The sequence below is a fragment of the Homo sapiens genome, chromosome 15, assembly GCF_000001405.40.
Source record: "Homo sapiens chromosome 15, GRCh38.p14 Primary Assembly".
NCBI lineage: Eukaryota > Metazoa > Chordata > Mammalia > Primates > Hominidae > Homo > Homo sapiens.
In genome coordinates, this window is record NC_000015.10 from 69,681,950 (window position 1) to 69,696,283 (window position 14,334).

General features: G+C 45.5%; 1 long non-coding RNA gene across 2 annotated transcripts in view; it reads left to right on the forward strand.

Moving 5' to 3' along the window:
- The window catches only part of PCAT29 (prostate cancer associated transcript 29), a 103,551-nt gene extending 89,750 nt beyond the window's left edge, over positions 1-13,801 (forward strand). The window contains exons 5-6 of one of the 2 annotated variants that reach the window (NR_126437.1): positions 2,348-2,493; positions 13,718-13,801. This is a non-coding gene — a long non-coding RNA (prostate cancer associated transcript 29). The remainder of the gene's footprint in view (positions 1-2,347; positions 2,494-13,717) is intronic. The other variant, NR_126438.1, reaches the window with a different exon arrangement.
- The last annotated feature ends 533 nt before the right edge of the window (positions 13,802-14,334 follow it).

Genomic DNA, 14,334 nt, shown 5'->3' on the forward strand with positions numbered 1-14,334 from the left:
GATTCCACCTCAAGAAACCACTTTCTTTGCATATCTGTCAGAAGCAACTCCTCATCTGCTGAAGCTTTATCATAAAATTGCAATGATTCAATGTCATCTTTAGGCTCCACTTGTCATTTTATGTCTCTGCCACTTCTGCAGTTACTTCCTGCACTGAAGTCTGAAGCCCTCAAAGTCATCCATGAGAGTTGGAATCCACTTCTTCCAAACTCCTGTTAATGTTGCTATTTTGACCACGTTCTATGAATCACAAGTGTTCTTATGGCATCTAGAAGGGGAAATCCTTTCCAGGAAGATTTCAATTTATTTTTCCTAGATCCTTCCAAGGAATCACTATCTATGACTGCTAAAACTTTTAAAAAATTATTTCTTAAATAATAAGACTTGAAAGTTGAAATTACTCTTTGAGCTAAGGGCTGAGATTGGATGTTGTGTTAGCAGGCATGAAAACAACATCAATTGTACATCTCTTTATACATCTCCATCAGAGTTTTTGGGTGACCAGGTCCATTGGCAATGAACAGTCATATTTTGAAAGGAATCTTTTTTTCCTGAGCAGTAGGTCTCAAAATTGGGCTTAAAATATTCAGTAACCCATGTTGTAAACCAATGTGCTGTCATCCAGGCTTTGTTGTTCCACTGATAGAGCACAGGGAGAGTAGATTTAGCATCGTTCTTAATGGCCCTAGGATTTTGGTGATGGTAAAGGAGGAGCATTGGCTTCAACTTAAAGTCACCAGCTCCATTAGCCCCTGATAAGAGAGTCAACCTGTCCTTTGCCATGGAAGTCAGGCACTGACTTTTCTTTTCTTTTCTTTTCTTTTTTTTTTTTTTAATTATTTTGAGATGGAGCCTCACTCTGTTGCCCAGGCTGGAGTGCAGTGGCATGATCTCATCTCACTGCAACCTCTTGCCTCCCGGGTTCAAGCAATTCTCCTGCCTCTGCCTCCCGAGTAGCTGGGACTACAGGCGCATGCCACCACGCCCGGCTAATTTTTGTATTTTTAGTAGAGATGGGGTTTCACCATTTTGGTCAGGCTGGTCTTGAGCTCCTGACCTTGTGATCCACCCGCCTCAGCCTCCCAAAGTGCTGGGATTACAGGAGTGAGCCACCATGCCCAGCCGACTTTTCTTTATCTATGAAAGTCTTGGATGGCAACTTCTTCCAAGAGTAGGCCGTTTCATCTTCATTGAAAATCTGTTGTTTAGTGTAGCTACTTTCATCAGCCATCTTAGCTAGATCTTCTGGATAACTTGCTGCAGCTTCTCTGTCAGCACTTGCTGCTTCACCTTGCACTTTTATGTTCTGGAGATGGCTTCTCTCCTTAAACCTCATAAACCAACCTCTGCTAGCTTCCAACTTTTCTTCTACAGCTTCCTCAGCTCTCTCAGCCTTCATAGAATTGAAAGAGGATTAGGCTCTGGATTAGGCTTTGGCTTAAGGGAATGTTGTGGCTGATTTGATCTTTCATCCAGACCACTCAGACTTTATGTCAGCAATAAGGCTGTTTCACTTTCTTATGATTCGTGTGTTCACTGGAGTAGCACTTTTCATTTCCTTCAAGAATTTTTCCTTTGCGTTCACAACTTGGCTGTTTGCTGTGAGAGGTCTAGCTTTCAGCCTCTCTTGGCTTTTGACGTGCCTTCCTCACATGCTTCATCTTTTCCAGCTTTTGATTGAAAGTGAGAGACTGTGACTCTTTTTTCCACTTGAATACTTAGAGGCCATTGTAGGGTTATTAATTGGCATAATTTCCATATGTATGTGTTTCAAGGAATAGGAAGGCCCAAGGACAGGGACAGAGACAGGGATTGGCCAGTAGGAGCAGTCAGAACACACGCGACATTTATCGAGTTCACTGTGGGCGTGGTTCATGGCACTCCAAAATAATTACAATAGTGACATCAAAGATCATTGATCACAGATCACTATAACAGATGTAGTAATAATGACTAAGTTTGAATTATTGTGAGAATTACCAAAATGTGACAACAGAGACACAGAGTGAGCACAATCTGTTGGAAAAATAGCTCTGATAGACTTGCTGTATGCAGGATTGCCACAACCTCCAAATTGTACAATTGCAACATCTGCTGAGCACAATCAAGTGAGTTCAGTAATATGAGGTGTGCCTGTAAATAGCATGAGGTCCCCTAGTTTCTCTTCCCTCACCTGCAGGAGCCTTTAAACTTGAGACTTGAGTTGGGTATTGTCCCCTGGTCCCCAGCATTCTCACCACTTTCTATGGCGTCTTCCTGGACTGTAATGGTAGGGAAGATAAAAATGATATTTCTCAAACTCCCTTGCAGCTATTGCTCTGACAGTACACTTTGTTCTGCCAATCAGATGCCATCAAGCTGAGATGTGAAGCGGAAGTGAGGCAGAGGCTCCCTTCCTTTTGTTTGGCGCAGTTTTCTGTGAGAGAGCAGAGGTGGGAGATGAGGGGACCTCTGCCCCAGTGTTTCTGCATCCAAGCTCCAGCCTTGTTGAAGGTGAGAAAAGCAGCTGTGATGGTTTTATGACCCTAGTCCCTGGCTTCTGATCCCTGGACCACAGCTAAGGGGCTGTGTTCTTGAATAGATAGTGGTGATCTCCCAATTCTCCCCGTCCTGGCTGTGTCACAGGGAGCAACTCTCTCAGTGGGTTGGTTCTGTGGTGTTTGGAGAGACATTCCTGGAAGCCCAGGCAAGAGTCTGCTGCTCCAGTCCTTCCAGTGCTTTTTTGTTTATTTATTTATTATTTTATTTTATTTTATTTTATTTTATTTTACTTAAAGTTCTGCGATACGTGTGCAGAACGTGCAGGTTTTTTACATAGGTATACATGTGCCATGGTGGTTTGCTGCACCTATCAACCCATCATCTAGGTTTTAAGCCCTGCATACGTTAGGTATTTGTCCTAATGCTCTCCCTCCCCTTGCCCCCGACCCCCTGACAGGCCCTGTATGATGTTCCCCTCCCTGTGTCCATGTGTTCTGTTCTCATTGTTCGACTACCACTTATGAGTGAGAACATGTGGTGTTTGGTTTTCTGTTCCTGTGTTAGTTTGCTGAGAATGATGGTTCCCAGCTTCGTCCATGTCCCTGCAAAGGACATGAACTTGTTCTTTTTTATGGCTGCATAGTATTCCATTTTAAAAAAATCCTTGTATTAAATGCTTTCCTGTTGAAAATAGCTATGCTAGGCTGGGTACAGTGGCTCAAGCCTGTAATTCCAGCACTTTGGGAGGCCAAGGTGGGCAGATCACCTGAGGTCAGGAGTTTGAGACCAGCCTGGCCAATATGATGAAACCCCATCTCTAATAAAAATACAAAAATTAACCGGGCATTGTGGTGCATGCCTGTAATCCCAGCTACTCAGGGGGCTGAGGCAGGAGAATTGCTTGAACCTGGGAGTCAGTTTGCAGTGAGTCAAGATCCCGCCACTGCACTCCAGCCTGGGCAACAGAGCAAGACTTTGAAAAAAAAAAAAAAAAGGAAAGAAAGAAAAGAAAAGAAAAGAGCTACACTGGTTTCTATCTCCCACTAACTGACACAGGACTTTATAAAGACAACCAGAGGAGTTGTTAAGAACCATTGAACTAATACCCTGGATTTAGAACAACAGAAAGTTCACAACACACAAACAGCCATAAAGGAGGTAGAGTGGGTTCCTTTCCCAGTCAGCACTTCCTCCTCTCTGAGAGCTAAGCCTGGATTCTCATACACGAGGGGACTGTCCCGACTCCTCTGGGCCCCACCACGTTCCTGTCTCCCAGGCTGGGCTGGGACTAGGGTGAGGCAAACGTGCCTAGGCATGAAATGTAAGGAGGCACTCACCCTCAGGGCTGTGGGAATACAGGCTGAGCCCTGAGAGTCAGTGCCTCTATAAATTTTATATACTAAGTACTTCACTTGCCTCACCCCAGTCCTGGCCTCCTCAAAAATTTGACCTAGGTGGACCTAGCTGGCTTCAACGTTGAGTGCAGAGAACTCTTGTCCTCTGCTCATGCTCTGGCTCAAAGCCCATTCTGTAAGTAGCTCCTCTGGAGGGCTCTCAAGTCTGCCCTGCACCTTACACTGTGCCTATGTGAGGCTGCAGCTCCCAAAGGCTCTCTGCATTCCCTCTGCTGTGTCATCCCTATCCTACTAACAGGAGGGAGGATCTTTGGTCCCAAGCTTAAAACGGGTCCCCACTAGCTATGCCAACACGACATTTCCAGGTAACATCAGACACCCCCAGGGGAATGGCAGCTTGGGGCATTGTTCTGTGAGCTCTTTGTGCCCAGTGTCCAATCATCAGGCTGTATGAACAGAAGTGCAGTATGCAAAACAAGGGAGGGGAGAGTTCGGCTCCACCCCAACTCATCAAACACACCTGGAGAGGCTCCATTTCTAAGGGGCTGGAGTCCTTGAAGGAAGAACAATTGGCAAACAGCTAATCAACATACAGGTGTTGCCCAATTTTAATAGAAAGTAGAGAAGTGCAAATGAAAGCAGCAGAGCAGAAAGTTACTTTTTGCACTTATCAGATTGTCAGCAGTTAGAACTGCTGGGCACAGTGGCTCATGCCTGCAATTCTAGCACTGTGGGAGGCCAAAGTGGGAGGACCGCTTGAGCCCAGGAGTTTAAGGTCAGCCTGGGCAACAGAATGAGACCCTGTCTTTACGAAAAGAAAAAAGAAAAAAAATTAAAAGAGGAAAAAAATTAGAAGAATGAATGATTCAGTAGCAAGGTCTAGAGCTGGGTGCTGTCTCATCTCTCAGTACCCCGGACGCCATTGGCTGAGAGAAGGCAGAGAAGACAATGCGATGAGTAGTGTCAGTGCTTTTATAAAGGAGGGAAGTAAAAATGCGTTCTTCTATGTTTCAAAATGCCCACATACCTAGCAAGAGGCAGATAGCAAAGCTGTGGCGTTCCCTTCCATCCTGTTCACAGTCACTTCTTATCTGCCTGGAAGGTTCACTGGGGGAGCTCGAGGGAGCAGCTGCTGAGGCAGGCCATGCACAGAAGGAGATTTCAGCCTTAGAACCTATTCAGATGAGCACACCGCTCTGCTTGCATGGGATCTGAAGATATCCCAATCTGGGTTTCCAGGAAGCTCTGGGCACTACTAGAAACACATCTGGAGTTGGGATGGAGGAAGCCAGCCTGCAATAGCCTACATAGCCATGGACTATGAGCTTGCCTGAGCTGTTATTACCTGATGGAAGTGTAGCCCCTGGCTGCTAGGTATGGGCAGGGGTGCTGGGGTGGTGTGGGGTAAGGAGAGATGTGAAGAGGGGGAGAGGGAAGCTCTTTATGACAGGGAAATATGTGTACCTCCAGGAGGTTTTGTGAGTGCCAGGTGCAACCATGATTAGTAAAGACACACTGGCAACTCCTGGACAAGCATTACCACATACGCACTAGTAAGGGAGAAGGAAAGTTAGGAAGGGGGCCATTTCTCTTTAGGGAGGTGGCACAATGTGGTTATTTTAGTGAGAAAATAAGTCTTACCTTGGTCTCAGTCTTGCAATGTAACCTGAACTTATTTGCTTAACCACTCTGAGTTCCAGTGTGCGCACTGGAACTTACTTAGCATTCTTACTTAGAATGTGAAAGTCAAAATAAGAGTATGTAAAAAGATATGCTGAGATGTTTCCACTGTTACACAAATGTAAGGGTTGGATGTTATGTCCTCATCTCCTGTCTGGCTCTTCTCTCTCTACCTCCAGCCTAATCTTCCCCTTCTCCACCTCACTGTCCTCAGCCTCACTGGCCTTCATTAAGTTCTAGAAAGAGTTATCCTCTTTCCTGCCTCAGAGCCTTAACACATGCTGTTCCCTGTTCCTGTAACACTCTTCTCTTTTTAAATTATTATTATTTAATTTTTGAGATGAGATCCACTCTGTCACCCAGGCTGGAGTGCAATGGCACAATCTCGGCTCACTGCGTCCACCACCTCCTGGGCTCAAGCAATTCTTCCACCTCAGCCTCCCAAGTAGCTGGGATTACAGGTGTGCACCACCACACCTGGCTAATCTTTTTTGTATTTTTGGTAGAGATGGGGTTTCCTCATGTTGTCCAGGCTGGTCTCCAACTCCTGAGCTCAAGTAATCCACCTGCTTCGGCTTCCCAAAGTGCTGGGATTGCAGGCGTAAGCCACTGTGCTCGGCTTCCTTCTCTTTATGTCTGGTTAGAAGAGCTCATCCCCCAGAGCTCAGCCCAGGCATCACCTCCCCAGGGAAGTCTTCCATGACTTTCCTGATTAGGTCAACTCTTTATTTGTACTCCTATGAGCAAAAGTACATCCTTCTCATTGTACTCATCTCAATTGTAGTTTTACATGTATTTGTATGATAAGGTGATGATTACCTGTCTCATTAGAGGCTTGTTGTGAGGATCATCAGGCAGCTCTATTGAAAGTCTACCATAGAGAGGAACATAAGCCTTTAGTCAGCTCCAACTCACCAGCCATATGAATGAGCCACCTTGGAAAAGGAGCCTCCACCCCGGTCAAGCCTGCAGATGACTGCCGCTTGAGTTGATAAATGTCTGCAATCTCATGAGACATCCTGAACTAGAACTACCCAGCCAAGCCACTCCTGGATTCCTGACCCACAGAAACGTAAGAGAGAATAAATGATTACTATTGTTTTAAGTCACTACGTTTTGGGGTGTTTACTATACAGCAGTAGAAATAGTGCAGATTTAGGTGCCTGGAAATGTGGTGCTGCTGTAAGAAATGTGGGAGTGGCTTTGGCACTGGATTTGGGCAGAAACTGGGAGGCGAGGGTGCATGATAAGTTAAAGGGACTTCAAGAGACTTCACTTCAAGAGAAGCCTGATGGCTGTGATAAGGATGCAATAAGAGCTTAAAAGAAAATGAGGAGGGTCAGGTACTCATGCCTGTAATCTCAACACTTTGGGAAGCTAAGCTGGGAGGATCACATGGGGCCTAGAGTTTAAGACAAGCCTGGACAACATAGTGAGACCCCATCTCTACAACAAATTTTTAAAAAATTAGTGGAGCATGGTGGTGAGCACCTGTAGCCCTAGCTACTCAGGAGGCTGAGGCACTTGAGCCCAGGAGTTCAAGGTTACAGTGAGCTATGATCACGCCACTGCATTTCAGCTTGGGTGACAAGTGAGACTCTATCTCTAAAAAAATAAAAGTAAGAGTAAAACACTTGAGAGAAGAGCTTCTTTGTTATGTAACGGTAAAAAGTTTAGAAATGCTGTCACTTGTGATAACCTGGAAAATAGCAAGTGGTCCTAATGAACTGGGTTATCCAACAAACAAGAGTTCCAGGCAGTGTTGAAGAAACACAGAGTATCACTTCTGGGCAGTGGTAGGAGTGAATCCCAATCAAGAAATGATTAACATCTGCTCTGCTGGATTTCAAAATTGCTATGGGCCAGTGACTTCCATATGCCTCTTGCTTTCCCCATTTTTGAATGAGCAAAGGGAATCTAGAGTAATGCCTGTCCACCATTGGAAGTTGGGTGTGTAGGGGTGCAGATAATGTATCTCTTTAGTTTATAGTTTTAGGATGGAGAGGAACTATACTCTAGGAGCTGTACTTGAGAAACCGCATCATGGGACCTTCATTTATGCCAGGACATGATTTAAATAATAAGATACTGGACCTCATGCTGATGTTGTCATTGAAGGACTTTTTGGGCATGTTGAAAGGCTTGGGAATCAGCTAATTTTAATTTAAGAGAGATGTGAATTACAGAGGGCAAGAAGGCAGACCATGACTGCAAGTATCTGAGATGGTCCCCAATGAGCCTGATATCATGGTATCCATTGTCTGTGTAGTTAGTTCCTTCCCACATGATTAGTGCTTTGTGACCAATAGAATTCTGTGGAAATGACAGGGTGTGTGACTTCTTAGACCAGGTGATAAAAAGCATCGCAACTTTTGCATTGGTCTCTTGGATTGCTCCCTCTGAGGGAAGTCAGCTACCATGTCAGGAGGACACTCAGGCAGCCTGTGGAGAGGCCCACATGAGAGGAACTAGGGCCTCCTGCCAATATCCACCACCAACTTGCCAGCCATGAGAGTGAGCCACCTTGGAAATGGACCTTTCACCTCCTGTCAGGGCTTCAGGGACTGCAGCCCTGGCCAACATCTTGACTGCTACCTTGTGAGAGATTCTGATCTAGTGCCTGCATGAGATAATAAGTGATTATTGTTGTTTTGAACCATTATTTTTGGAGGTAATTTGTCATGCAGCAATGGATAACTCATACAGCCAATCCTCTCTTCTCTGGCCTGCATTTTCCTGGGTAAACTCTCTTGTTTTTGACCTTATATTCAATTTGTGAGCAGGACCAGGATGAAGATGAGGTGAGGGGGTGCACAGGGCCTCCTTCAATTTTGTGCCTGAGGTGTCTTGCTTGTTTCACCCTTGCCCCAGTCCTGTGTCTGGTTTCTGCATGGTGTGATAAAAAGTCAGTCCCTGGTGATCTTGCCCTTAACCTTGCAGCCTGACTACTGCCAGCCCCCTGTGCCTGACTTGGCTTCCTGTGGAGAAGCCTGTGGAGTCAGGTGGACAAACCCTGTGGTCCTTTAAGACTGCAGGCAAAAAAAGGAGGAATGGGCTGAACACCACCAGTGGGGGCAGTTCTCATAGAATTCTGGAACCCAGCAGGTCCTTACATTGGCCCTGAGGTGAGTGGAGAGACCTTTAGTGGTGGAGTGCATCAGGTGGTTGTGACACCTTGACCTTAGGGTGCAAACAGGCCTCAGGGGTTCAGGGCAGTCCCAGAGGGGGCCACGAGAGAATGGCCTTCCTCGAGGTAGAGATTGGAGCCCATGTGGGACATTCATATATAGAAGCAGAAGGAAAATAACACTAGTAACACATGGAGTGACTCCTCCAAGCCAGCCATTGGCTTTACCTCATCCAATTCTCCCAAAAGCCCAATGCATGATATACTCATCATCCCTTAAACCCAGTTTCAAAAATCCAAAAAGTGGTAGCGTGCAGTGGCTCATGATCTCAGCACTTTGAGCAACAAAGTGAGACCCCCGTCCTGGGAGGCTGAGGCAGGAGCATTGCTTGAGTCCAAGAGTTTGAGGCTGCAGTGAGCCATAATCACGCCACTGCACTCCAGCCTGTGTGACAGAGCAAGACCCTGTCTCTAAAAATAACTCCAAAAGCTCTGACAACCGAAAGATTTTTATAACTCACTTGGTGGCAAGTCCTGGACTGAACTGATGTGAGACTATTTATGGTCTTAATTATGCCATTTACTGTAAATATCTATAAGTTTCCCTACAAAAATATTAATGCATTTGATTACAGGGTGTTCCCCAGAACCCACTGAGTGCTCCATAATATAGTGTTATGTACCATGTAACTTTTCTAAAACCCAGCATTTCTGAATGTTGAAACATCTGGTCCAAAGATAAAGTACAGTGGGCGTCTTAGTCTATTTTCTGCTTCTATAACAGAATATCTGAAACCGAGTAATTTACAATGAATAGAAATGTATTTGGCTCATGATTCTAGAGGTTTGGAAGTCCAAGAGAATGGTGCTGACATCTGGTGAGGGCCATTGTGCTGCGTCATTCCATGGTGAGAGGCAGAAGGGCAAGTGAGCATGTGAACCAGAGAGAGGATGGGGACTGCCCACTCCCATGACAATTAACCCACTTCTGCCATAATGGCATTAACCTATTCGTGAGGGCAGGTCCCGAATGACCTAACCACCTCTTAAAAGACCCACCACTTAATATCAGCAATTACATTTCAACATGAATTTTGGAGGGGACATTCAAACCATAGCAGTGAGACTGTATTATTATTTTTTCCATTTTACATATAAGAAAAACTGAAGTGTCATGAAAAGTGATGACATTTTCTAATTGCACAGTGACAGCCTTTTTCTTCCTCCTGTTCAGAGGAGAATTATTTCACAATGCTGAGACTCTGTTACCTACCCACCGTCCCCACCCCGATCACAAGTTCTTGATGGGATTTGGCACTCTGAGATCTTTCTAGACCCCTTCTAGTTATTTTTATAATAAACTTCCAAATGCTTTCTGTGCTTTGGGTATTGATTGTTTCTGGACAAGTGGCAATCAGATATTTATCCACAGAAACTCCCTGGAGTTTAAGGAAGCCTTTTGTACTGCCAATGTGTTCATGTGACTAAAATAGAATAAACTCTTGAGGGTTTCTTTTCATTGCCCGTCTCCGCACTGTCCCTCCTTCACTCCAAACCCTTGCTTACCTTGTGCCCTTGCCAGAACTTCCCTCTGATCTCATTCTCATTTAGTAATTAATTCACTCAACAAACACTGATGGAGTCCCTGCTGCTTCCCACAACGTGGTGGAAGAGGTTTTATGATTTATTAGGAGACCACTGGTTTGACAGACAAAAGATTAAGGTCCTGGTTCTGTAAGAGTTCAGACAAGGCCTTTTTTTTTTGGCTCTGGACCTCAGTTTAGCCTTAACCAAATATGAAGTAAGAAGATAATTGAGAGGATGTAGAAACCATCATCACAAAGTATTGAAACCTAATACAAACAGGACTGAACAATAAAGAGTGTGGGCCTTGGCACAGTCTGCCCAGGGTGCTGGCTGTACAGTTCTCTTTATCCAGTCCTCCTCTTGGTATCCTTTTGATTTTCAGGGTGGCTTATCTCATGATCACAAAAAGGCAGCCAGCAGCATCTGCAATCACACGCTTTACAGCCAGAGCGGGAGAGATGGAGCTACTTCAGGCATTAAGCTCAGTTCCCAAACTGGTTGCTCTGAGCCAGGTCTATTCCAGTTGAGCCTACGCTGGTTCCAGGGGTTCAGAGCCTGATCTGGAGAGGTTAGCAAATATTTTAACCATCACTCTTGGAAAGAGTGTTATTTCTAATAATCATCACACAGAAGTCCAAATTTCAAGCTAATTGGCTTAAGCTGGAGTTACCTGAACAAATCCCATGGCAGGAGGCTTAGGATTGCCCCACTTGGCTTGGAACTATTAGTCCTACTCCAACAACTGGGGTTGAGGTCAGTTTTACTCAGATTGCATGCTCACTACAGATGGGTGGGATTGCATACAGGGGTGCAACCAAAATGTGCTCCACTAGCTCTAAGTTCCCTTCTCACTCTTTCTTTGTTTCTACATTTTGAACCCCTGTACACGACGTTGCAAAGGATACCCCCATCTTAATATTTTTGTTCCACTCATTTACTTTAGCTTAGTCACACTGGCTGGAGATTCTACCATCAACTTCTAATCTTCCAAGAATGTTCCTCTAAATCTGAAGGCAAGGAGAAGTGGAAACCGAGATATGGTGCTCTGCTGGTTTGCAGTGTCAGCCCGGGCTAGGCAGGAAGATTTCTGGGGGCAAAACCTCTGCATCTGCAGGACTTCCCCTTTGCTGGCACTCAGATGGCATTGAATACATGAATTTTCATCAGTTTTTCAAAATATAACAGTAATATGTGGAGTGTTAAAAACTCAAAAGGCTATATGAAACATACTTTTCCTCATCTAATACCTCCAGTTCCCAGAGTGAATCACTGTCATCTATTTTTCGTGTATTCTCCCATTTGTGTTCTATACGTATACCAAAATATATAAACAGTATTTACACAGGTGTGTGTATATATACAACCAAAGCCACCTTCTTCTATACATAGGGATTATAGTACAAATGTTTGTTGAATGAATAAATGAGTGACTAACAGTAACTGGGGGGCTCTGACTGTGAAAGGCTCTCATTTATGCCCCCAACGACTGTCAGTCAGGAAAACAGAGCTCACACAAGTTGTTTGAACAGAGAGATTTTAACGTAGGGAACTGAGTAAACAAGAATTGGAGGCGCAGAAAGACAGAAAGTGGCCATTGAGGACTTACAGAGATAGTAACTGCCAAAAGGCAGCTATACCTTTAGGACAGAGGAACAAAGAAAGAGATCAGGGTTATTAGAACCTGGAAGCTTGGAGAAGAAACTGCAGTGCTAGGACCTAAAACTCAGAGAAGCTGGTGCTGGCTGATTGGTGCTGATGTTGCTGGACATGCCAAGGTGGGTTCTGAGGGTGTGGCAAAAAGCCAGTGAACTGGAATTCACTGCTGGTGGAGTGATGTGGCCAGGAGTAAGCAGCAAATGGGATAGATGGGGTCTCTCCTTCTGCCTCTCTTTGTCCCTCCAAGAGTCAATGGGAGGGGGCCTAGTAAGGAGAAGCTAGTGAAGGGGAAATGTGGCTTGCAGGATTTCATCTCCAGGAGCACAAAGTAGAGAACAGAAGGGTGGATTTGGGGCCGAGGGACAAGAGTTTAATAACCAGCGCTCCTTGTTCCTGTTCTTTTGGAGCTTTTGTACAAATTAGAAAAAAGTATACCCTCTGGGCAGAATTAGCCCTGGGTCAGGGTGCATGGTGTGGTGGGTAGAGAAAGATGCTGCACCATACCTGGGCATAAGGTCGGCAGGAGAATATGGGCTGGATTTTACCCCCCAACTATCCTTTTCACCAGGTGTATTTGTATAGGGTACAACCTAGTGCAGTCGTATGTAATGGCCCTGCATCTGTCCAGCTATAAGCATTATAGTCCATTTGGTTACATGTGGGCATCACACACACACACAGACACACAGACACACACACACACACACACACACACACACAGACACCATGAAAGCACATTCTTTTCTTCTTTGGGAGCAGGGGTTTGGGGTGGTATATCAATCAGGAGGCCTCTGTTATCCCTGCTGTATCAACTCACTGGGTATGGGCCCCTTCTCAACATCAGGACCCAGGGTCTAACTTGTACAAATGTGCATCTATAGACAGAGCATTGACAACATACACATAATTTTCTCAGTAAATCTAGGATGAGAAACTGTTTCTGAGGGGGCTGTGGTGAACAAAGATGGGGAGTTAGGCCTTTTTAGACAGTAGGCGTTCAAGAAGTTTGAAAGGCTATTTCAGAATGCTTCATAACAGAGTTTTCAAATTGGTTGGGAGTCTGGAAATGACCTGGTAATAACGATTATGGTGATGAGAATAGTTGTCTTACACTAGGTTCTCTGGATCCAGACTGAGACAGAGGTGGTGTGAGAAGCTGGTAGGTGTTAGTGGGAAATCATCTGCGAGGAGGTGAGGAGGCAGACAGGGCAGAGGAAGAAGCTGAGAGACGTGCAGCTGCACCAGAGGCCCTGGCTGATCCGGGGACCTCTGGAACAAGGATGGCCCTTTAGGGTAGTCTCCAATTTAGGTAAGAAGCCTGGGCTGTGTGTCTACACATCGGCCCTTTATCGGCCATGGCCCCTCTTGGGAGGAGGCATGGCCTCGGAAGGAGAGCAGGTTTCTGATGAGTAATAACTGTGACCTTCCCATCGGCTGGAGGATTGGGGTCTTGGCTCTGAAGAGGGGATCTGGGCAGCATGCCGCTGCATCCACTACAATAGTGATGAGGGTGTCAATAGCTACCACCAGGCCATCACCTACACAAAAGCTAGATGTTTTGCCCATAAACCTGGTCCTCTCCAAGTCTCCCCCATCTGAGTGAGTGGTATTAACCTCCAACCCCACTTCTCAAAACAAAATCACCAGAGTCTTCCTTGATTCTCCCCTTTTCTCCTCTCACAATCTGTCAGTAGGAATTATTGGTTCCAGCTCCAAAAATACATTCTGAATCTGTCCACTCCTCTCCATTTCCATCCCTCCGGCCCAAGCCATTAAGTCCTCCGTGACCAACTGTAACAGCTTCCTAACACACCTCTTTCTTCCCATCCAGGTTGCCCCGACGGCCACTCTCCATACTGCTGCCAGAAGAACCTTGAAATATCGCTCTTTTTAATTAAAAAGCAAAACTCTTCAATTGTTTTTGTTGCATTTAAAGTTCAAACTTCTTACCACGGAGTGAAAGGCCCCACACAATTGGCCCTGTCTTCTTCTCCAACTTCCATTTTTCTTTGGTCCACCGTGTTCTAGCCGCATGGGCCCTGTCTTGATTCCTTGTACATGTCAAGCTTACTCTTGCTCCAGAGCCTGTGTGGTAGTTGTTCCCTCTGCCTGGAATGGCCTTCCCTAGAACCTGCCTTGGCTGGTTCTTCTTGCTATTCAAACCTCAGCTCCCACATCACCTCCTGTGTTAGGCCTCCCTGGACCACTCTAATTAAATTAGTACTGGAGACATCAGTCCACCTGGCTTCAGGGGCCAGGCCTTCCTCTTGCAGCCTAGAGGCTCTTTGCAGACTGCTCAAAGCTCCCTTTGCACAACTCAACCTGGCAGTGGGGCCTTACTTTCTATTTTTATGATCTCAGGGATGTCTAGAGACCTCGTTGGCCTGGCTACAGTACATCCTAACCGGGCATTGAGTTGGAGGAACTCAGGAGCTTATAATCTGGCCT